This window comes from Homo sapiens, chromosome 9 (genome assembly GCF_000001405.40).
Source record: "Homo sapiens chromosome 9, GRCh38.p14 Primary Assembly".
Taxonomy (NCBI): Eukaryota; Metazoa; Chordata; class Mammalia; order Primates; family Hominidae; genus Homo; species Homo sapiens.
The window spans coordinates 132704564-132729165 of record NC_000009.12 but is presented as its reverse complement, the minus strand read 5'-3'; the positions used below and the strand labels follow the sequence as shown (position 1 = coordinate 132729165).

At 48.9% G+C, this 24602-nt stretch overlaps 1 protein-coding gene across 12 annotated transcripts in view, besides 2 other annotated features; it reads left to right on the top strand.

Annotated features, from left to right (window-relative positions):
- The window catches only part of AK8 (adenylate kinase 8), a 153469-nt gene extending 149881 nt beyond the window's left edge, over window positions 1-3588 (top strand). For 11 of the 12 annotated variants that reach the window (NM_001371771.1, NM_001371773.1, NM_001371772.1 and 8 more), the window contains 2 exons: window positions 1632-1712; window positions 3241-3588. In NM_001371771.1, coding sequence (NP_001358700.1) covers window positions 1632-1712; window positions 3241-3478 — 319 coding nt within the window. In that variant the 3' untranslated portion in view covers window positions 3479-3588. Of the gene's footprint in view, window positions 1-1631; window positions 1714-3240 lie in introns of those variants that run through there. The other variant, XM_047422822.1, reaches the window with a different exon arrangement.
- Window positions 4763-5268: an enhancer, noted in NCBI's record as "H3K4me1 hESC enhancer chr9:135599285-135599790 (GRCh37/hg19 assembly coordinates)". NCBI's record gives its function as "activates a minimal SCP1, AML or CMV promoter by ChIP-STARR-seq in primed H9 embryonic stem cells {active_cell/tissue: H9 hESC(primed)}" and the evidence as "EXISTENCE:reporter gene assay evidence [ECO:0000049][PMID:30033119]".
- Window positions 6283-6789: an enhancer, noted in NCBI's record as "H3K27ac-H3K4me1 hESC enhancer chr9:135597764-135598270 (GRCh37/hg19 assembly coordinates)". NCBI's record gives its function as "activates a minimal SCP1, AML or CMV promoter by ChIP-STARR-seq in naive H9 embryonic stem cells {active_cell/tissue: H9 hESC(naive)}" and the evidence as "EXISTENCE:reporter gene assay evidence [ECO:0000049][PMID:30033119]".

Here is a 24602-nt window from a genome sequence, read left to right as displayed (position 1 = left end):
TGCCTGTAATCCCAGCGCTTTGAGAGGCTGAAGGGGGCAGATTTCTTGAGCCCAGGAGTTCCAGAACAGCTGGGCAACATAGTGAGACCCCATCTCTGAAAAATAGATAACAAAACTTATCTGGGTGGGGTGGTGCACACCTGTAGTCCCAGCTACTCAGGATGCTGAGATGGGCAGATTGACTGAGCCTGGGAGGTCACTCCACTGCACTCCAGCCTGAGCAACAATGTGAGACCCTGCCTCTAAAAGAAAAAAAAAAAAGGTTTCATATAAAGTAAGTGTTCCATTGCCCTAAAAAGGGGGGTGGGGATGAAACCATTGGAACTAGGAGTTTGAGAGATGAATTCCCTGGTGCTCCCAGTCTGAGAATCATGAGAAGTGAGCCCTTCATCTCTTCTGCTGGGTTCTGATTTGGGCTTATTAGCAGGAGTGTCCTGCTCCTTTGGGTCCAGGGCTCCTTTGAGAAAGAGGAAGTGAGAAAGCTGAGAACAACCAACCTCCACCTCTCCAAGGAGGACAGGGGAAGTCAGGGAGCCTGAACTCCCAGGAAGGGTATCTAGGAATGGTGATTAAATTATAACAGCTGCCACGCTGGGGTACCGAGTCTGTGCAGACCTCACACTGAGTTTGTCACACACTTTATCTTGTTAAATCTTCAACACCAGGGAACTATAATTAGCCCCATTTTGTAGTTGGGGTAACTGAGTCTGACAGAGGCTGGGTCAGTGGCCCAAGCTCACACAGCAAGTCCATAGTGGAGGTGAGAGTCTAGCCCAAGTCTGTGTGACTCTAGAGAACAAGATGTTCCCCCAAAGCTCACCCAAACAATGACCCCCATCCCCGGGAGTCCCAACCCCAGGAGTGATGGGGGCTGAGAGCTATCCCTGAACCAGGGGAGCCTAGTGCGTCCTTGCAGGGAGCCCTGCTGTCCCGCATCTGTCCCTGGTGACCTCCAAGTGTGGTATCCCAGAGCCCTGAGCAGTGGCTCCAGTGGCTCCACCCACATGTGGAAAATGATGCCCACCCTCGTCTGGGGTGACGAGAGTCAGCCTGGGTTTGCTCCCCATGACCATCTGCTTGTTCTTGTCTTAATTGCACCCAAAATCTAATGTATAGAGGTAACCAGGTGATGATACAGAGAGGTCAATCCCACTGAAAGAAGAGTTTGTTACTCACAGCTCCCAGGAAAAGGGGGGCACACCATGCCCTGCAGGACCTGGGGAGGCACCAGGGTTGGTCAGGTGGCAGCAGGAGTGAGGGGAGAGCGTGTCCCAGAATGCAGACAAGTCACAGTGAGCATAGGACTGGGCAGTTTGAATAATTCTGCCAAGCTCGGTCTACAGGGATGGTCTCTAGTTGCCTGGCACCCGGCCCTGAGGTGATTTAGGGCAGGAAGAATATTGGTTTGGGGTGTGAGAGTCAGATGAAGGAGGCGGTTGGGGGGACACAGGCTCTGGAGTGGTTGGGTTGTACATGAAAGGCAGGTTTGCAGGCACATTGCTTGCTGGCTCTAGGAATCGGCCAGCCCTGGGAGGAGCAGTCTCTCCAGGATTCTCAAGACCCCAGGATGTCACAGCATCATAAAATACAGGAAATAAAAACCATTATTAATATGGTTTATTTCCTTATAGGGTGTTTTTCCTGAATGTGCCATTTGATTCCATCATGGAGCGGCTGACTCTGAGAAGAATTGATCCAGTCACTGGGGAAAGGTTTGTGCTGTGTTCCTGGTGGTTGGCAGTCTGGGGACTGCCAGGGGCCAGACCCAACTGACTGACCAATGCCATGGTGGAAACACTGCAGGGATAACACTGGTGACCACTGAAGGACGATTATCAAAATGGACTTTATCCAACTGGCTGTTCTGTGCAATATCTGTTGACCGTCTTTGCCTGGAAGAATAACCAGGAAATTTATGTCTAAAGCAACACAATGGTGAAATGTTCACCCACTCTATCCTGGGATCAACAGCTTAATCCCAGCATGTGAAACAGCAGCCTTGGGTGGGCGTCACCTGTTTCCTCACTGGCCTTTCCTTGAGCCACGATGCATCCCAGTGGTGGTTGCTGTACAAACACATCCCCATGGGCACAAGTTGCCTTTGAGGCTTCCCATAGTTACAGGAGGTAGATTCCGAGTTTGATTCTGCAGTCTGACCAAATACAATCACTGCATTCATGTTGAAATGCAATGGAAACCCCACAATCACTAAGAGGCGGGTGTTGTCATCTCTCCTGACAGTCAGGGTCACATTTCTTGGTAGGGACGCAGGAGTGGGGTGGGGGGCGGGCAGGAAGGAAGTGCAGGGATTTTTCTAAAATGTAGACCTGATTTGTCATGGGAGTTTTTAGCTTTCCCATCTCAAGTGCTGTGGCCTTCATGTCACCCTGTCCCTGCGGTCTCTCCCAACAGTGAACGGCTGTAGTACTTCCTTCCATCTCCACAGTTGCTGTAATGTCCCACTCCCTCATCTGACTGTGAGCTCCATAGGCACAGAGCCAGCGCCTGTCCTGCTTACCATGGCACTGTCAGTGGCAGATTTAACACAGGACTCAGTGCAGATAAACATTGAATGGAAGGGAGGAAAAAGGAACAAGAGGCCGGGCATGGTGGCTCACGCCTGTAATCCCAGCACTTTGGGAGGCCAAGGCAGGTGGATCACCTGAGGTCAGGAGTTTGAGACCAGCTTGGCCAACATGGTGAAACCCCTTCTCTACTAAAAATACAAAAATTAGCTGGGCAGTAATGGTGCACGCCTGGGAGGCAGAGGTTGTGGTGAGCGAAGATCGCGCCACTGCACTCCAGCCTGGGCAAGAGAGTGAGACCCTGTCTCAAAAAAGAAAAGAAAAAGGAAGAAGAAGAGAAAGGAAGGGAGGGAGGGAGGGAGAGAAGAGAGGGAGGATAGGGGAGGGAGGGGAGATAGGAAGGAAGGAGGGAAGGAAGGAAGGAGGGAAGGAGGGAGGGAGGAAGGAAAGAATTTGCCCATATATGATTGTATTCTGTCCTCCTATCACTGATCTCTCTCCCTCTCCCTTGAGCGGGGAGCACATCTTGGATCTCTCTGTAGCTCCAGGGCCCATCAGTCAAAGGTGTGCACACAGCAGTACACAGTAGTAAATGGCTGGTGATGGTGGTGGTGGCCAGGACACCCCAAATTGGTCCACAGTAGAGTAGAGGGTCCCTTTCTCCCCTGCTTCCAGGCCAGGCCATGGGTCACCTGCTTTCCTTCCTCCCTTGCAGGTACCACCTCATGTACAAGCCACCTCCCACCATGGAGATCCAGGCTCGCCTCCTGCAGAACCCAAAGGATGCTGAAGAGCAGGTCAAGCTGAAAATGGACCTGTTCTACAGGAACTCAGCTGACTTGGAGCAGTTGTATGGGTCGGCCATCACCCTCAATGGGGACCAGGACCCATACACAGTCTTCGAATACATCGAGAGTGGGATCATTAATCCCCTGCCCAAGAAAATCCCCTGATGGGTTCAGAGCCAGGAGCGCTGCCCCAGGGAAAGAGTTAATCCCCTGCCCCCAGCCCCCCAGCCTCGGCACAGCTCCCCTAAAAAGCCAATAAAGCCTGCTGGATACAGTCTCGTACGTCCTGAAGGTGAGGTGGCCGGAAGTTGGCCTCGTGTAGGGGTCTGGGGACACAGGACAGGTGAAGACCACAGTGATGATAAAGTGGAGTGCAGGCCGGGTCTCTGGAGTCGGACCTGGGACAAATGGTGGCTCCAGCACCAACGCATGGTGTGTCCTTGGAGTCCCAACCCACAGAGCCTCTCTTCTCACAACCAACTTGAGGCTAAAAACCGTAGCCGCCTCGCAGGGTGGCTGTGGGATAAAGAGTGGTGATGCCGATGAAGATCTCAGCGCAGTGCCGGGCTCTGGAAGCACTCAACAAACACAGCTTTTAAAACACCCACCTTGGCCGGGTGCAGTGGCTCATGCCTATAATCCCAGCACTTTAGGAGGCCGAGGCGTGTGGATCACAAAGTCAGGAGTTCGAGACCAGCCTGGCCAATATGGTGAAACCCCGTCTCTACTAAAAATACAAAAATTAGTTGGGCGTGGTGGCTCAAGCCTGTAGTCCCAGTTACTCAGGAGGTTGAGGCAGGAGAATCGCTTGAACCCGGGAGGCGGAGGTTGCAGTGAGCCAAGATTACGCCACTGCACTCCAGCCTGGGTGGCAGAGCGAGACTCCATCTCAAAAAACAAAACAAAACAAAAAAACCAAGAAACACCCATCTCTTGGGCGGCGCCATCCAGCACAGCTCTCGGTAATGAAGAGCATGATCTCCATCTGCCTGTCCAATGTGGCAGCCACTAGCCATGGGTGGCTATTGGGCACTTGAAAGTGACGAGTGCAACCGAGGGGATGGTTTCAACATTGTATTTAATTTTCACAAATTTAAATAGCCAACTTGCGGCTCCAGATAACAGGCGTAGCTGTCTGCCTCTAGAGAGATGTAATGCAGTGTTTGATGGATATAGCACAGTTCTTGACAGATGTAGCTGTTTCTTTAGACTTGCTTCTTCAGGTCCCACGAAGTGAAAAGAAATGGTCTCTCTAGGGTCTGCAGAGCACACAGGGCCCAGGAGCAGACGCCAGAGCGACAGTGACATCTTAGGCTGATGGAGCAATCGATCCTCTTCTCCCATTATTTCCTTTGACCTTCCAAATGGTCTTCATTAGGTAGGTGCTTGGGGGTTCCCCCAGCGACACGAGGACACTGAGACCACAGAGGGTAAGTGCCATGCCTGAGGTCACCTGGATCCAAGGCTAGACCTGAACCCAGTGCTCTGGGCAACACCTGTGCTCTGCCTACCTGGCCTCAGCAGCCCAGGCCAGCCTGGGTTCTAGCCTCTGGGGCTGTGGGAAGCTTGGGAGTCTGGGCCTGATGGCTAAAGCCCCTTCTAATCTAGGGTAGCCTAGAGCCCTTCCAGCAAAGATCTAACCCTCGCACCAACCATGGTAGCCAAGGACCAGGCCAGCCAGCAGCTCCCATGAGCTGAGCCAAGCTTCCTGGGCCCACCTCCTTTGCTTCTGCCCTGGTTGCAGGCAGGCTGAACGCCAGGCCAGCCCAGGCCCTCTCTGAGGGGCCTTCTCCAGAGGTCCTGCCTCCTGCATCTTCCCTGTGCCTGGCGGCTCAGTCTCCACACTGCCTCCCTGCCCTGCTCAGCCACTGGATACCACCTCCTGAAATTCCATCAGGGGCCTCCCCTGCCCAGGGCTCAGTTCTTCCCAAAGACCCCTGGGGGGAAGAGGGTGTGTACCCTGAACTTTCTCTGACAATGTGCCCCTGACCAGGAAGCCTCCATCCAGCCTCAGGAGGCCCCCGTTACAGTCTGCACATCCAGGTTGTAAATGCCCCATGCTGGGTGATGAAGCTCTGCCCCTTGGACCAGCCCCCAGGCTGGAGGAGACAGCGGACCTCAAAGCTGGCCAGCACAGGCCTGGCTCTGGTCACTTCCCTCTGTGGCTCTCCCCTTCTGCCTGGCATTCCTGGTCCCTGGAAGGGATCTCAAATGAAACGCCATTTGGATGTAAATCCTTAGTGATTACATCATTTATTCAGTGATAATAAATGCTTTAGTCCCAGCTACTCAGGAGGCTGAAGTGGGAGAATGGCGTGAACCCGGGATGCGGAGCTTGCAGTGAGCCGAGATCCCGCCTCTGCACTCCAACTCCAGCCTGGGTGACAGAGCGAGACTCCATCTCAAAACAAAACAAAACAAACAAAAAAACAAACCCCAGAGGCTTACAGTTCACAGAGCAGACAGAACATCTGATTTCTGATCATTCCTGAGATCCATCCCTGCCCTTGGGTTCCATTAAACATTCCTCTATTCTCCCAACATGCTCACCTCTTTAGCCTGGGGGTCAGATGAGTTTTAAGAGTACAGTGGTACAGTTAGGACTAACCTAGAGATGGGTCAGATGAGTTTTAAGAACACAGTGGTACAATTAGGACTAACGTAGAGAGAGGTTAGGACTCACCCAGGAAAGCAGGTGAGAGGTGAGAGGGAATTTAAAATGAGATCAGGACTCACGGGAGCCCCCCTAAGGAGTTGCAGGTCACTTGGGAGCTGAGTTTTAAGGCACACTTGAGGGTTCAGAGGCATGAAAATGATGGCCGCGGTGGCCCATCTGGAGCTGCAGCTTCGAAGACATTGGCGGCGGTGGGGGAGGTGTGGCTGAGGCTGTGGGCTCCAAGGAGCAGTGGGAGCCCTGCCTCCTTCCACGGAGGCAACTGCCGCGGACCAGGCATCCCTGCCTGGGGCCTGGGAAGCCACATCACCACCACCGCAGGCTCGGAAGCTGGCAAAGTTGAGGCCAAGCCTGGGCGCTGTCACGACCCAGGGCCGGGTGTGTGCTCTGGGCACAATGACACTCCAACCCCCTGCTGCTTCGGACTTTGCCTAGAAACACAGAGAGGGAGGTTGGAGGGGAGCTGAGGGCAGCTGGGCACTGGCCTGTAGGCACCCCTCAGCGGGAAGAGCCTGGGTGCCATGGAGCACATGATCAATGGCAGCAAGAGGCAGACAGGCTCCTGGGTGGAAAGGGGCAGGTCCCTGGTGAGGCCCCACCTTCAAGCCAGGGACGGCCTGAAGCGTGGTGGGCCAGGCTCAGTTCTGGTAGAGTCCATGGCCTGGAGTGAGAACTTAGGGTGCTTTTTCCAGACCCACCCATGGCTGCCCATGGATCAGTCAGCATCTACTTCTTCCCTTCTGAAGCCCAAGCCCATAAAACCTGGGACTCAGTCACACTCACCAAGACATTGGGATGACCAGCTGTGGGAAGGAGCTACCCAGTTCAGGTCTCCTGAGTTGGGACGACCTGCCTGCAGAAAGGAGGTACCCACTTCGGGTCTCCTGAGAGCTGTCCTGTCGCTCAATGAAACTTCTCTCCACCTTGCTCACCCTCCCGTTGTCCCTGTACCTCATTCTTCCTGGATGCAGGACAAGAACTCAGGACCTGCCGAATGGCGGGACTGAAAGAGCTGTAACACAAACAGGGCTGAAACATGTCCCCCCCACCCCGCAGCCCCCCACTCATCACATTGCAGGCAACAAGAAGGAGAGAAGAGCTGCGGCCCCTCAGGGAGCCCTGACCAAGGGGCTCCCCAAGCCAAGGCTATGACACCTTCTCTGGGGCTCTGTGGTTCCTGGAGTCTCCAAGCTTCCTGGAGCCACCACATTCCCCTCATCCAGACGCGGGTGCCCACAGCAGAAGCTGCGTGTGGTACACCTGGTCCCACCGCAGCCTCACACGGAGCCGGCACAGGCCCCTGGAGCTGCTCACCCCACCACAGCCAGCATGCTTGGCTATGTGCAGTGGCCAGACGCCACACTTGCTCGCTCACACATCCCTCGCTGCTCTGCACCTGGCTTGCCCTTGGCAGGCTGGTAGTGCAAGCAGAGTAGGCAGAACAAGCCCAGTGGGCGCAAGCAACACTCAGGCAGAAGATGCCGCCAGCCATAGAGGTTTTCGACTGGTGAAGTAACACCCCAAGGATCCTGTGACAAAAAGAAAACATGACATATGACTGGACTATGGAATATGCTTCCATTTAAAAAATAGAAACATAACTATATTATTATAATACTTTTTTAATGTTAAAATATATTCCTGGCCAGGCATGGGGGCTCACGCCTCTAATTCGAGCACTTTGGGAGGCCAAGGCAGGTGGATCACCTGAGGAGTTTGAGACCAGCCTGGCCAACATGGCGAAACCCCGTCTCTACCAAAAATACAGAAATCAGCCAGGCATGGTGGCGGGCACCTGTAATCCCAGCTACTCGGGAAGCTGAGGCAGGAGAATCGCTGGAACCCAGGAGGCAGAGGTTGCAGTGAGCCGAGATCACACCACTGCACTCCAGCCTGGCTGACAGAGCGAGACTTCATCTCAGAAAGAAAAACTTTTCTTACACAAAAATCCAAACAAGACAGCATATGCACCTCACCTAGGAAGGAAACATCGCATCCCCACTCCAATAAACCCTTAAGTGTCACTCACTAGAGATGATCACAGTCAAAAGTTTTGTGTGTCAGTTGCTGTGGATGGGAGGACGGATGTTCAATACAATCCCATAAACACTGATGGGAGTGGATTGTGTAGACGCCTCTGTAATTTACTTTATAAGAGGTAAGAACATGCTATGGTTTGGATCTGTGTCCACACCCAAATCTCATATTCAATTGTAATCCCCAGTGTTGGTGGTGGGGCCTGGTGGGAGGTGACTGGATCATGGTGGGGGCAGTATTTCTCATGAAGGGTTTAGTACCATCTCCTTGGTACTGTCCTCATGATACTGAGTGAGTTCTTTCTAGATCTGGTCATTTAAAAGTATCATTTTAAATGCACTTTTTTTTTCTTTTTCAAGATGGAGACTCACTCTGTCGCTCAGGCTGGAGTGCAGTGGCTTGATCTCGGCTCACTGCAACCTCCGCCTCCTGGGTTCAATCAATTCTCCTGCCTCAGCCTCCCGAGTAGCTGGGACTACAGGCGTCCGCCACCACACCCAGCTAATTTTTGTATTTTTAGTAGAGACGGGGTTTCACCATGTTGGCCAGGCTGCTCTTGAACTCCTGACCTCAGGTGATCCGCCTGCCTCGGCCTCCCAAAGTGCTGGGATTACAGGCATGAGCCACCGCACCTGGCCTCAGATATTTCTTTATAGCAGCGCAAGAAAGGCCTAATACAGAACACTTAACATAAGATATATACCCTTAACAAATTAAGTGTACGATCCCGTATTGCTACCCAGAAGCACAATGTTGCACAGCAAACCCCTAAAACTATTCATTTGCACAACTTGAAACTTTATACTCCTTGAACAGCTCCCCTCCAGCTCCTCCTCCCCACCCCACTCCCAGGTCCTGGCAACCACCATTCTTCTCTCTGCTTCTGTGAGTTTGACTATTTTTAGAAACCTCCTATATGTGGAATCATGCTGTATTTGTCCTCCTTTGTCTGACTTATTTCATTTAGCATAATGTCCTCCAGGTTCATCCATATTGTAGCATATGGCAGGATTTCCTTCCTTTTTTCAGGCTAACAATTCATTGTATGCATAGACTGCAATTTCTTCATCTGCTCATTGATAAATGGACATTTAGGTTGTTTCCATATTCTGGCTCTTGTGAATAATGCTGCAAGAGACATCGGCGTGCAGAAGTCTCTTTGAGATCCTGATTTCAACTCTCACAGATAACTTGCCTTGTTATTCAACCATGTAGTGTAATGTAGTCAACTTTTAATTTCAATATGTATAGAAGTGGCTGGGCATGGTGGCTAACGCCTGTAATTCCAGCACTTTGGGAGGCCAAGTTGGGTGAATCACCTGAGGTCATGAGTTCGAGACCAGCTTGGCCAACATGGTGAAACCCCATCTCTACTAAAAATACAAAAAATTAGCCAGGCATGGTGGCAGATACCTGTAGTCCCAGCTACTTGGGAGGCAGAGGCAGGAGAATCGCTTGAACCCGGGAGGCGGAGGTTGCAGTGAGCTGAGATCGCGCCACTGCACTGCAGCCTGGTCGACAGAGCGAGACTCCATCTCAAAAAAAAAAAAAAACTAAAAAAAATACATATGTATAGAAGTGCCCCATTTTCAGTTTTTTTTTTTTCTTTGAGACAGGGTCTTGCTCTGTCACCCAGGCTGCAGTGCAGTGGTGTGATCTCGGCTTACTGCTTCCTCTCTCGACCTCCCCAGTTCAATCCATCCTCCCACCTCAGCCTCCCAAGTAGCTGGGACTACAGGCATGCGCCATCATGCTTGGCTACTTTCTGTAGTTTTTGAAGAAACAGGGTTTTGCCGTGTTGCCCAGGCTGGTAACTCCTGGGCTCAAGTGAACCTCTCGCCTCAGCCTCCCAAAGTGCTGGGATTATCGGCATGAGCCACCATGCCCGGCCCATTTTCAGTTTTAATCCATATGCTTGCTTCCATTTAGCCTTGTTTCTTCAGGCAGTGATCCCGTGGTGAAAGCTCTGGTCTGATTGCCATGTTAATCATTGTGGTTGACAGAAGTTAAAAGGGGAGGAACTGTGCTACTCCCTGTTGACAAAAGAGTCAAACTCTGTAAAATATTTTAAGAGTTTTTTGTTTGTTTGTTTGTTTGTTTGTTTTAAAATGGAGTCTCTCTCTGTCGCCAGGCTGGAGTGCAGTGGTGCGATCTCAGTTCACTGCAACCTCTGCCTCCCAGGTTCAAGTGATTCTCATGCCTCAGCCTCCCGCATAGCTGGGACCACAGGCGCCCGCCACCACGCCCAGCTAATTTTTGTATTTTTATTTTCACCATGTTGGCCAGTATGGTCTCAATCTCCTAACCTCATGATCCGCCCACCTCAGCCTCCCAAAGTGCTGGGATTACAAGTGTGAGCCACTGCACCCAGCCAAGAGATTCATTCTGAGCCAAATATGAGTAACCATGGCCCGTGACACAAACCTCAGGAGGTCCTGAGAACATGTGCTCCAGGTGGTTGGGATAAAGCTTGGTTTTATATATTTTCGGGAGACATGAGACATCAATCAAATACATTTAAGAAATACATTGGTTTGGTTCAGAAAGGCGTGACAACTCAAAGGGTGGGGGGCCTCCAGGCTATAGGTAAATTTAAACATTTTCTCGTCAACCATTGGTTGAGTTTATCTGAAGACCTGGGATTAATAGAAAGGAAATGTTGAGGTTAAGATAAAAGATTGTGGAGATCAAGTTTTATTGTGCAGAGGAAGCTCTCAGACAGCAGACTTCAGAGAGAGCAGGTTGTAAAATGTTTCTTATCGGACTTAAAAGGGTGCCTGGCTCTTAGCTGATTTTCTCCTGGATCTGGAAAGGAAGGAAGGAAAACAAAGGGGAAGGGGATTCTCTATAGAATGTGGATTTTTCCCACAAGAGACTTTGCAGGGCGATTCCAAGGCATTTCAAGGAAGGAATTTCATGGCAAGGAAATATATTTTGGAGTAAAAGATGTTGACTTTTTCCCTTGTTATGCCAGAGTCAGATTGGAAAGTAAGTCACGATATACAGCGTTAAATAAAACCTATCTGATGAGAATTTATGGTTTGTAGGGCATGACTTCCCAGACCCCTTAGAAAGGAATTTGGGCAAGATTAAAAAAATCAGAGCTTAGTCCTCACCGCTCCTTGGCCTGATCTGGAAAAGAAGGCATCTGAGGGCTCTGCAGACAGCAAATAGGCGGGAGTCCACGTGCTGTGCATCGGTCCTGGGCCAGCCCCATGATGAGGTCTTGGCACACACGGGCTCATTTCATCCACACAAGAGCCTGGCAAAGTACAAAACTTATGATCTCCATTGTCCAGACGAGAAAACTGTGGCTCAGAGAGGGCAGGGGTTTCCTCAGCTCACACAGGCAGCTGGCGGCCGACCTAGAGCACGTGACCCCACTGTGCTGTCCTGCCTGTCACTGACTCCCCCACGTTTCGTGAACAAGGTAGCCGCACCATCCAGCCCTAGAGAGACAGCACTGACTGATGAAAGTGGGGAGACAGATTCTGTCCCACTGCAGGAGAAATATGAGTTGGTTCAGTCACCTTGTAGGGCACCGTGACAGCATCTACTAAAATGTGAAATGCACATAACGTACTCCACCCATTCAACATGGGACAATGACACTTCTCAGCTCCTACCCTTGAACTCATACGTGCACAAGTAGACACGTTCAAGGATGTTTACTGCCACACTTCATAACAGAATGATAGAGGAAGAAGAGACAGAACCTAAGTGTTCTTTCTTTTTTTTTCTTTTTTCTTGGTACATGGTCCAGTCCCAGCCTGGAGTGCAGTGACACAATCATAGCTCCCTGCAGCCTTGACCTCCCAGGCTCAAGTGATCCTCCCACCTCAGCCTCCCAAGTAGCTGGAACCACAGCCATGCAGAGCACCGTGCCCAGGTAATTTTATTTTTGGTAGAGACGGGGTTCTGTCTACATTGCCCAGACTGGTCTTGAAGTCCTGGGCTCAAGTGATCCTCCTGCCTCAGCCTCCCAAAGTACTGGGATTACAGGCATGAGTCACCATGCCCAGCCCCTAAATGTTCTTTACTGGTGAGGCAGACACGGATGGATGCCTTCCTTTGAGGATTCCCTTCCTCCATGCCATCGAACGCACAGTTTGTTCAGGCTACTAAGGTAACCACCTAAAACTACTGATTTTCCTGCAACTAGGATGACCATGGAACAAAGTTCTGGCCAATGAGAACTTTCAGGAAAGCCATTGTTCTCCTCACCGAAAAAGAGGGAGGGAAGGGAAGCGAGGGGCACATGGGGACCACTCTCCCAAACCTGGGCTGTGAGCGCGAGGGGCACGTGGGGACCACTCTCCCAAACCTGGGCTGTGAGCGCGAGGGGCACGTGGGGACCACTCTCCCAAACCTGGGCTGTGAGCGCGAGGGGCACGTGGGGACCACTCTCCCAAACCTGGGCTGTGAGCGCGAGGGGCACGTGGGGACCACTCTCCCAAACCTGGGCTGTGAGCGCGAGGGGCACGTGGGGACCACTCTCCCAAACCTGGGCTGTGAGCGCGAGGGGCACATGGGGACCACTCTCCCAAACCTGGGCTGTGAGCGCTTCACTTCTGTCTCAGTTCCAAGCCCAGGCCTGGGTCCACAGCCTTCACCAGGGGGTGCCCTGTGCTGATCATCTTAGACTAATTAGGAAACGCTCAGTCTGCCCTGGAGCCTTAGCCATGTGCCGGACGAGTGAATATCTCAACCAAAAGAGGACTTGGTTGGGAAAACAAACAAACAAACAAACACTGAGGTTGTAGAAAGGCAACCAACAAGATCCCCCCAACTCATTCCTCCCACAGAGGGAGAAACAGAGGCCCCGAGCAGGAAGGAATCAACGTCTCCTGCCTCCAGGGCCAAGGCTTCTTCCTCCCCTGGACTTGTCCCTTCTGTGATACCCATTCTACAGGTGGGGAGACTGAGGATTCTGTGGCCAGAGCCTTGAGCATTTAAAAAGGGTCCCTTGGCTGGGTGAGGTGGCTCACGCCTGTGAGCCCACCACTTTAGGAGGCTGAGGTGGGCAGATCACTTGAGGTCAGGAGTTGGAGACTAGCCTAGCCAACATAGTGAGACCCATGTCTCTACTAAAAATACAACAAATTAGCCCGGCATGGTGGTGGATGCCTGTAATTCCCACTACTCAGGAGGCTGAGGCAGGAGAATCGCTTGCACCTGGGAGGCAGAGGTTGCAGTGAGCCAAGATTGCGCCACCGCACTCCAGCCTGGGGACACAGTGAGACTCCATCTCCAAAAAGAAAAATAAATAAATAAAAATAAAATAATAATAATAATAATAATAATAATAAAGGGTCCCTTGTCCACTTCTAACCGGAGGAGACCAAGGTCATTATTAAAGCTGTCTCCATCAAGTAAAGTAGAAAAAAAGTTGAGTTAATGAATTTTTCAGTTCTTAGGTTCATGCATTCCACAAATATTAAACAAACCCATTCTGCCCGAAGCACCCATTCTTCTGGGCCTATAGCAGGTGATAAGACAGACAAAGCCCTGCACTGTGCACTGGACCAATTTTACACTTGTATCCACGCACAGAGGTTCCAAGGGTCAGCTCCAGATACCAAGAAGGGCAGAAGGGCCAGGGCCCAGGCTCTAGGACCTAACAACAAAGTTTGCCCTTTAGCAAAACAATTTCATCATTATTATTATTATTATTATTATTATTATTATTTTGAGACACAGTCTTGCTCTGTCACCCAGGCTGGAGGGCAGTGGCACCATCTCGGCTCACTGCAACCTCTGCCTCCCAGATTCAAGCAATTCTCCTGCCTCAGCCTCCTGAGTACCTGGGGTTATAGGCACATGCCAGGCTAATTTTTGTGTTTTTAGTAGAGATGGGGTTTTGCCATGTTGGCCAGGCTGGTCTTGAACTCCTGACCTCAGATGATCCGCCCGCCTCAGCCTCCCAAAGTGCTGGGATTACAGGTGTGAGCCACCGCGCCCAGCCTATTTTTAATTTTTATTTTTTATCAACAGCTCAGGAGCATCGAACAAGCTACAGACCTACCAGCCTGGTCATTCCTTCCCTGGCATGAGAGGGCTGAGGTCAAGTTTCATAGCCATCACTTTTGTATTTTAGTGATGTCCAAACGGTAAACTCCAGTTTTTCCTATCAAGCTCATATTTCTTTTTTTTTTTTTTTTTTTTGAGACAGAGTCTCACTCTGTCTCCCAGGCTGGAGTGCAGTGGCGCGATCTCGGCTCACTGCAAGCTCCACCTCCCAGGTTCATGCCATTCTCCTGCCTCAGCCTCTCCCGAGTAGCTGGGACTACAGGCGCCCGCCACCATGCCTGGCTAATTTTATATATATATATATATATATATTTTTTTTTTTTAGTAGAGACGGGGTTTCACTGTGTTAGCCAAGATGGTCTTGATCTCCTGACCTCGTGATCCAGCCGCCTCGGCCTCCCAAAGTGCTGGGATTACAGGCCAAGCTCTTATTTCCTTTGAGAATCTTTTCCAATTGCTCTTGGTCCCTGCAGCCAGAATGAGGACAGTGACATCTAATTTACATATGACCACTGGGGCACCAGTTGGTTATTCTCAAAAACAGCAAGATACTCCACTGATCTCCAGATGGAGAGGAAGAACAAAAACTGTGGACCTCTCTATGGGCCCAGGTAGGAGATGTCTATTCACTGAGCCCGCTGCCTTAGATTCATGGGGAGGTTGTACCTGAAGCTGGGCAAGCATCAGGATCTCATCTGTAGTGATAGATAACTTTATGCACTCTACAAAACATAACAGACTGGCAGGGGGAAATTCTATCATTGTATGTAATAGAGGGGAATGAATAACAACAAACTTCCTTGCCACTTTTATATATATATATATATGTATATGTATTCAATGATAATATATATAAAACAATTTTATTGAGAAATAATTCACACATAAAATTCATCCATTAAAAGTATACAATTTAGGCTGAGCATGGTGGCTCATGCCTGTAATCTTAACACTTTGGGAGGCCGAGGCGGGTGGATCACCTGAGGTCAGGAGTTTGAGACCAGCCTGGACAACATTGTGAAACCCCATCTCTACTAAAAATACAAAAAATAGCCAGGCGTGGTGGCGGGCACCTGTAATCCCGATACTTGGGAGGCTGAAGCAGGAGAATTGCTTGAAACCAGGAGGCGGAGGTTGCAGTGAGCCGAGGTTGCGCCACTGCCCTCCAGCCTGGGCGACAGAGCGAGACTCCGTCTCAAAATAAATAAAAAAATAAATAAATAAATAAAAATAAAAGTGTACAATTTAATGGTTTTTAGTATATCTACAGAATTGTACCATTCCCATTAATTTAAGAACAATTCATCACCCCACAAAGAAACCCCGTACCCATTAGCCGTCACTCCCCATTTCCTTCTCCCCACCCAGTCTCCTGGCAACCACTCCTCTACCTTCTGTCTCCATGGATTTGCCTATTCTGAACATTTCACATACAATCATACATGGAATCACACGACATGTGGCCTTTCGTGTCTGGTTTCTTTCTGATGCTTTCAAAGTTCATCGCGTTGTAGCATGGATCAGTCCTTCATTCCTGTTTATTGCAGAGTAATACCCCATCGTATGAAAATGCGCCGTTTTGTTTACTCATTCATCAGCTGAATGCATTTCAGTTGTATCCACTTTTGGACTGTTATGAATAACGCTGCTGTGAACATTTGTATATAAGTTTTTGTGTGGACAGATTTTTTTTTTTTTTTTTTTTGAGACAGAGTCTCGCTCTTTCGCCCAGGCTGGAGTGCAGTGGCGTGATCTCGGCTCACTGCAAGCTCCGCCTCCTGGGTTCACACCATTCTCCTGTCTCAGCCTCCCGAGTAGCTGGGACTACAGGTGCCCGCCACCATGCCCGGCTAATTTCTGTATTTTTAGTAGAGATGGGGTTTCACCGTGTTAGTGAGGATGGTCTCGATCTCCTGACCTCATGACCCGCCCACCTCGGCCTCCCAAAGTGCTGGGATTACAGGCATGAGCCACCGCGCCTGGTCAATGTGGACAGATGTTTTAATTTCTCGAGTATATGCCCAGGAATGGAATTGCTAGGTTGTTTGATAATTCTGTTTAACCTTCTGAGGAACCACCAGGCTGTTGCTAAAACAGCTGCAAGACTTTACATTTCCTGCAGCAGTACATGAAGCATCCAATTTCTCTACATTGTTGCCAACACTTGTTCATATCTGTCTCTATAACCACCCTACGGGTGTGAAGTGGTATCTTATTGGTTTTCACTTTCCTGATGACTAAGAATGTCGAGCAACTCTTCATATGCTTATTGGCCATTTGTTTGTCTTCTTTTGATAAATGTCTGTTCAGATCCTTTGCCCATTTTAAAATGGGATGGTTTATCTTTTTATTATGGAGTGATGAGTCCTTTTTTTTTTTTTTTTTTTTTTTGAGATAGAGTCTCGCTCCGTCACCAGACTGGAGTGCACTGGCATGATCTTGGCTCACTGCAACCTCCGCCTCCTGGGTTGAAGCAATTCCCCTGCCTCAGCCTCCCGAGTAGGTGGTACTACAGGCATACACCACCAGGCCCAGCTAATTTTTTTTTTTTTTTTTTTTGTATTTTAGTAGAGACAGGGTTTCACCATGTTAGCCAGAATGGTCTCGATATCCTGATCTCGTGATCCACCTGCCTCGGCTTCCCAAAGTGCTGGGATTTACAGGCATGAGCCACCACGCCCAGCTGAGTTCTTTATATATTCTAAAGACAAGTCCTGTATCAGATATATGATTTGCAAATACTTTCTCCCGTTCCGTGGGTTGTCTTTTCACTTTCTTGATGATGCTGTTTGTAGTACAAAAGTTTTTAATTTGGATTGAGTCCAACATATCTATTTTTTCTGTCACGTGTACATTTGGTGTCTACAAAGGCTTTGCCTAACCCAGAGTCACAAAGATTTGCTCCTATGTTTTCTTCAGAGTTGTATAGTTCTAGCCTTACATGTAGGTCTGTGGTCCATTATGAGTTAACCTTTCTGTATGGTGTGAGGATGGAGTCCAGCTTCATTCTTTTGCATATGGGTATTCTAGCCACTCAAAGCATGTAATTTTGTCTCTGAGCAGCTCTCCAGGAGAGGCTGTCCCTAGGGCAATAGCTCAGCAGGTAAGAATTATCTGGAATGCTTGTTTAAAAAATAAGACTCAGGTCGGGCGTGGTGGCTCATGCCTGTAATCCCAACACTTTGGGAGGCTGAGGTGGGCAGATCACGAGATCAGGAGTTCAAGACCAGTCTGGCCAACATAGTGAAACCCCATCTCTACTAAAAATACAAAAAATTAGCCAGGCATGGTGGTGTGCGCCTGTAATCCCAGCTACTCAGGAGGCTGAGGCAGGAGAATCACGTGAACCCGGGAGGCGGAGTTTGCAGTGAGCTGAGATTACGCCATTGCACTCCGGCCTGGGTGACAGTGCAAGACTTTGTCTCAAAAATAAATAAATAAATAAAAAATAAAAAAGACTCAGCTGGGCACAGTGGCTCACACCTGTAATCCCAGCACTTTGGAAGGCCGAGGTGGGCAGATTACCTGAGATCAGGAGTTCGAGACCAGCCTGGCAGTATGGTGAAACTCTGTCTCTACAAAAATACAAAAAAAAAATTAGCCGGGCATGATGGCAGGTGCCTGTAATCCCAGCTACTCGGGAGGCTGAGACAGGAGAATCACTTAAACCTAGGAGGTGGAGGTTGCAGTGAGCTGAGATGGCACCATTGCACTCCAGCCTAGGCAACTCTGTCTTAAAATAAATAAATAAATAAATAAATAAATAAATAAATTTTAAATAAATTAAATAAAAAATAAGACTCCTGGGCTCTATCCCCAGAGATTCTGATTTAACAAGTTCAGGGCGGGGCCTGGAAATCTGTTTTTGTAGCAAACATCCCACCGTTGATCAAGTGTCTGCGGACCTGAACTTTGAGGATCTTTGCCTTTTGTGGAGGATGCTTATAGTTAGAACATGAAAATTCAAACATGGCTGAGCATGGTGGCTCACACCTGTAATTCCAGCACTTTGGGAGGCCAAGGCACATGGATCACTTGAGGCCAGGAGTTCAAGACCAGCCTGGCCAACATAGCAAAGCCCTGTCTCTATAAAAAATACAAAAATTAGCCAAATGTTGTGGCATGTGCCTGTAGTTCCAGCTACTCAGGAGGCTAAGGCAGAGAATTGCTTGAACCTGGGAGGCGGAGGTTGCAGTGAGCCGAGATTGTGCCACTGCACTCCAGCCTGGCCAACAGAGCGAGACTGTCAGAAGGGAAGGGGAAGGGGGAAGGAAGGAAGAAAGAAAGAAAATTCAAAAGTAACTGGTGACTTCCAGTTCTGACAACCTGCAGCTTAGAGATCCTGATTATGCCTCTTAAAACAAACCCCTAAAAATTCTGAATGAAATATGGTGACAGGGCTGGGGGCTGGTAACTATAACTGAGCTAGCAGGAAACATTCAGGGCCAAAAAGGACATGAACGCAGGAATCCAGACAGACGGGTGAAGGCTGAAGCCGGAGTTGCCGTACAAGTGTGTGTTGAGCCTGATGGCCCAGATCTTCAGTTAAAATTGTCCACACATGGAACACTGGAGGCAAAGCGCAGAGTCCCCCCACCCACCCAGGGAAGAAAGAGAGACTGGGAGGAAAGATTTGCAATGCATTTACCCAAACAGTATTAGTGTCCAGAATATGTGCACAACTCCTAAATATTACCAAGTCAAAAGCATTCAAATAAACAAATGGAAACATACACGAACAGGTATTTAACAGGAGAAAACACAAATGGTCAATTAACTACACAAAAAACGCTTAACCTCATTGGCGATCCAAGTTTTGCAAATTAAAAGTCACAATGAGATATGCCTGCACACCCACCACCAGAATTTAAAAGGATTGACAATACCAAGTGTTGGAGGGAACGTACAGCAGTGGGAACTCTTGTACAGTGCTGGTGGGAGTGGAAATTGGCTTAACTGCTTTGGAAAACTGTTAAGAAATTATCTGCCAAGGCTAAACATGCCTACCTTGTGACCCAGCAATTCCTCTCCTAGCATATACAAAACGAGTGCATAAGTATAGAAAGGGACATGAATAAGAATGTTAAAAGCAGTTTAATTCATGTTAGCCCCAAACTGGAAATGGCACAAGTGTCTATCAATTATGGTTTATTCATGCTATAAACTATTACATGACAATAAAAAACTCCTGATAAATGCCTCAATAGGGATGAATCTCGCAACCAGACACAAAAGAGCACACACTTTATGATTTGATTTATATGAGGTTCAAGAACAGATCAAACTAAGCACTGTTAATAGCAATCATCTCTAAGAGGGACATGCCTGAGAAGGGGCACAAGGACTCTAGGGTGATGTAAAGGTTCTGTATCGATCCAGGTAGCGGTTACACTCAAATCCTAAGCTGTGCACTTAAGTTTGTGGCCTTTATTGTACATGGTATATGTTAATGAAACCACTGAATACATTTGAGACAGGCTTAAGTAGCAATACACACACACATACACACACAACTGAAGAGAAAAATATTTAAAAGACATGAATGGGATTTTTGGTGTGTTTTAGAGGTGGTTTCGCTCTGTCACCCAGGCTGGAGTACAGTGGTGTGATCATAGCTCACTGCAGCCTCAAACTCCTGGGCTCACGTGCTTCTCCTGCCTTAGCCTCCCAAGCAGCTGGGAATACAGGTATGCACCACTGCACCCAACTATTTTTTTTTAAGAGATGGGGTCTTAAACACCTGGGATCAAGTGATCCTCCCACCTTAGCCTCCCAAAGGGCTGGGATTACAGGCGTGAGCCACTGCACCTGGCCCATGAATGGGCATTTTACAGAAGAAAACATGATTAGCCAATAAAATACATGACAAAAGCTCCACGTCATTAGTAATCAGGGAAATGCAGGTTCTAATGAGATACTGGTACTGCTCTGAGACTGGCAACAATTTGACAAATCTGGCCGCTTCTACTATTGACAGAATGGGGAGCAAGGGGAACTCATGAAGACTGTGATGAGGTGGACCAGGCACCACCACTCTAGGAGACAATCGGCGTCATCTGGTGAAGTGCAGCTGCGTGCCCTGGGAACGGGCCAGCCACGAGACGCCGCAGGTGCGCTACGGTGTGCGTCAGCGGCACCAGAGGAGCTCCTTCAGCCTGCAGATTTTGAGGCCCCCAGATTCTTGCCTTCCACGTGCAGACGGGCCGAGGCACCACTTTGAGAAACAGTTTCCAAGGATGAAGCTGCAAGCAAGGAGGGGCATGGAGCCGAGGGACTCGCCGGGGGTCCCAGCTGGAGTCCCTGGATTGACTCGCCGCTACCTCTTGTACTTCCCCGGGGTGTTCCAGGGGCTCTCGGAGCGCCGTATTGAAATCGATGTCCTCGGTGAGGATCCTAAGCGGGGGACCCAGGGTGGTAGATGTTACGTTTTCTCGAGAAAGAACGTCAGAGATGTTCCTAATATTGTCGAAAGCCTCCCTCTTATCCCCAGTTTCCTTCGCATGTTTTAGGAGAAAAGAGGGAAGGGAGGAAAAGGGAACAAAACCTGAAGACGGACACACAACCACCTCTGTCGTTAGCTGTGGAGGGCTGGGCTGTGGTCCTGGTGGGAACATGGCCCTTCAGCACCTGGGGAGAGGAGCTCGGAGTTCTGGGCTTTCCTCTTCCTTTAAAAGCTGTGTTGGAGGAGTCTGGTCTGTGGTGAAACTAAGCATCCCGGTTTGCCTGGGACCGAGGGAGCTCCCAGACATGGGCATTCCACTTTTCAAAGCAGGCCGGTTCTGGGAGAGCCAGGATGAGTTGGTCACACCCTGCCAGTGTGAGCGGATCCTGGAACCACAGGCCAGCTACTTTCAGGGTGGAGACATGCAGCCAAGCCTGGGGCAGGGCACCGTTGCGGTCCTCTACGTACATGGATGCTAGAGGAAGAAGAAGGGAGGAAGGAAGGAAAAGGCAGCAGATCCACAAGCCCCTGCCTTCTGCAGGCTCCCTCCAGCGCCCGCTTTTTCTTTCTTTCTTTCTTTCTTTTTTTTTTTTTTTTTTGAGACGGTGTCTCACTCTGTCCCCAGGCTGGAGTGCAGTGACGCGATCTCGGCTCACTGCAACCTCCGCCTCCCGGGTTCAATAAATTCTCCGGCCTCAGCCTCCCGAATAGCTGAGATTACAGGCACCCACCACCACACCCAAGTAATTTTTGTATTTTTAGTAGAGACGGGGTTTCATTCACCATGTTGGCCAGGCTGGTCTTGAACTCCTGACCTCGTGATCCGCCCGCCTTGGCCTCCCAAAGTGCTGGGATTACAGGTAAGAACCACCGCACCTGGCCTGAGCACCCTCTTTTGACAAAGCTGAATATCGTGCCCACAGCCAAGAAGGATGGAGTCCAGCCAATGACAGCAGGTGGGGACTGAAGGGTGAATCTGGAGCTAAGTTAATCAATCAGTAAGCGGCTCATGTGTATTATTGATTTGTTCCTTTTTGTAGCTGAGCCACACACCGTTGTGTAGCTATTCTACATTTTGTTTCTATAGTCACCTATTGATGGATACTTGAGTTGTTTTTAGGTTTTGAGTATTGTGACTAAAACTGCTATGAATATTTGCACAATTTATTTTTGAGTATTCGTTTTGGATCCAGAAACCTTGCTAATGTCTCTTAATGCTAATAACTTATCAGTCGATTCTTTTATACTTTTTTCATACCCAATCATATTTTTTGTTTGTTTGTGACAGGGTCTCGCTCTGTCGCCCAGGCTGGAGTGCAATGGTGCCACTGTAGCTCACTGCAGCCTGAGCTCCTGGACTCAAGTGACCCTCCACCTCAGCCTCTCAAGTAGCTGGGACTACAGGTATGGACCACTATGCCTGGCTAATTTTTTTTTTTTTTTTTTTTTTTTGTGGAGATAGGATCTCCCTATGTTGCCCAGGCTACATATCATATTGACTGAGAATACGATATCTTTTTTCCAATTTTTTTTTTCTTTTTCCTAAGAGACAGGGTCTCGCTCAGTCTCCCAGGCTGGAGGGAGGTGGTGTGATCATGGTTCACTGCAGCCTCAAACTCCTGGCCTCAAGTGATGCTCCTGCCTCAGTCTCACAAAGCACTGGGATTACAGGTATGAGCCACGATGCCTGGCCCTTTTCCCCCAATCTTTATACCTTTCTCTCTCTCGCCTTATTGGAATGACCAGGACCTATAGTGCAATGTCGAGTAGAATAGATGTGTCTAGCTCCACTGGGTCTTCTGGGTAACATGGCCCAAGTGACAGGCCAGCTTGCATCCCAGCCTGGACCTGGAGTCCTCTCTTGCTACGGACCTCACACAAAGCTACCAGCCTTTTGAGTTATTCAGTAAGTGAGCCGGAGCTGGGTCCCTGGTAGAGGCTGCCAGAAGCTCTTTGCCTCTTTCTCAGTGGTAGGAAGTAAAAGGTGCAAGAACTTGTTTTTTGCCTTAAGGACAATGCCATGGCATGCCTTGGACCACTGGATCCATAAAAACTTCATTGTGATTACAGGACCCAGAATCATTGTAGTATTTTTCATCGACTTTCTGGCACACATATGCCCCACATTCAAGCAGTTGCCACTTTCCTGTTTCCCAAGTCCAGTTAGGATGCTGCCGTCGACATAACAGAGCAGCATGATGTTTTGTGGAGCGGAAAGACAAATGTCTTTGGATTATATTGTAATGAAGAGCAGACGAGTTTGGGTGGGGAAGAAATCGAGATCCAAAGGAACATACCCATTTATAAATATATGATCAACAAATGTAATTACTGATCAACAAAAAAATACCCTGAATGCCAGCAAGTGGCTAATGAGTTGTAGTGGATTTTTAGCTCTATTCAAGTGGAATCAAGAGGAGCTACAGTTGTTATACATCCTAGTTTCAGTAGCAGATATTGAATTTGCGTCAGTAGTTGTGTTGAGCTTGCTCTGACATCCTGTGTTTCTTTATATATTTATTTATTTATGAGACAGAGTCTCACTCCATTACCCGGGCTGGAGTGCAGTGGCACGATCTCACTGTAACCTCCACCTCCTGGGTTCAAGCAATTCTCCTGCCTCAGCTGCCTGAGTATCTGGGATTACAGGCATGCACCACCACCACACCTGGCTGATTTTTGCATTTTTAGTAAAGATGAGGTTTCACCATGTTGGCCAGGCTGGTCTTGAACTCCTGATCTCAAGTGATCTCCCCACCTTGACCTCCCAAAATGCTGGGATTACAGGTGTGAGCCACCGCGTCCAGCCTGACTGTCATAATTCTTTATCACGCTGGCTCTGACATTTTGGTCTTCATGCTGCATTACCAGTGCCTCTTATAGTCGCCCCTGCAGTGTGTCTGGTACATCCTATAACATCCCCCAGCAGGGTCAGGTTAGCCTCAGTTTCTTCACACAAGTTAACAGAACCCTGGGGCAAGACAGCAAATGTGAATTTCAGTCTTTCCTAGGAGATTGCAAACTGTTTTTGATCCTGTTCTCTGATGGGGATTGAAAATAATGCCTTTGCCTCATCAATGCAGCACACATCAGTTGCCAGGGCTGTGGGTATACTCTGGTGAAGACCTTATGTCTGGCACAACAGCTGCAGGTGGGGCCCCGGCTTGATTGCATTTATGGTAGCCCCCCTCCTCTGTCAGATCCGTCAGGTTGGACAGGGACCAGCCTGGCACATTAAGCAGGGATGTGACGGAGGCCACCACCTCCCCGATCTTTAAATCTTTGCAGGTGACATTGATCTTTAGGATTCCACCTGAGTTACAGCATTGCTCTGTTTTATTTATTCATTTTATTTTTTGAGACAGAGTTTCACTCTCATCACCCAGGCTGGAGTGCAGTGGTGCAATCTCGGCTCACTGCAACCTCCGCCTCCCAGGTTCAAGCAATTCTCCTGCCTCAGCCTCCCAAGTAGCTGGGACTACAGGTGTGCACCACCACACCCCGCTAATTTTCATATTTTTAGTAGAGATGGGGTTTTGCCATGTTGGCCAGGCTGGTCTCAATACTCTTCACGTCAGGTGATCCGCCCACCTCTGCCTCCCAAATTACTGGGATGACAGGCATGAGTCACCATGCCCGGCCTGCTCTGTTTTACTATCTTGGCTGTGGCAGAAGTTTTAGGAGCTTCCACTTGGCCCTTTCTCCACAGGTGAGAGAACCAGAATCCTGACTATGATAGTATCACATCAGAAGCATCAGACTTCTATAAATTTCATGTAGTCTTTAGAATACTCCCATTAATAACACATCCATACAAACATCACTTTAGAAAAAATTTAATGTAACCAAAATTATGACTGATAAAATCAGATTTTGTGATTTTATATAATTTTTGGAACATTTACATCAATAATACACCAATAAATATAACTGAAAGAAGATCTAGTTTCACTATCATTTGACAATGACCACATCAGCTTAATCATTTAGCATCTCTACAAGATAAGAAATACATCCTTTGAGGCTCTCCAGGGGCCCAACTGGAAAATCCCAAAGTTAACTTTAGGTCAGTAAGACTTAATTTAGAATTTTGATCCTGGGGAAAC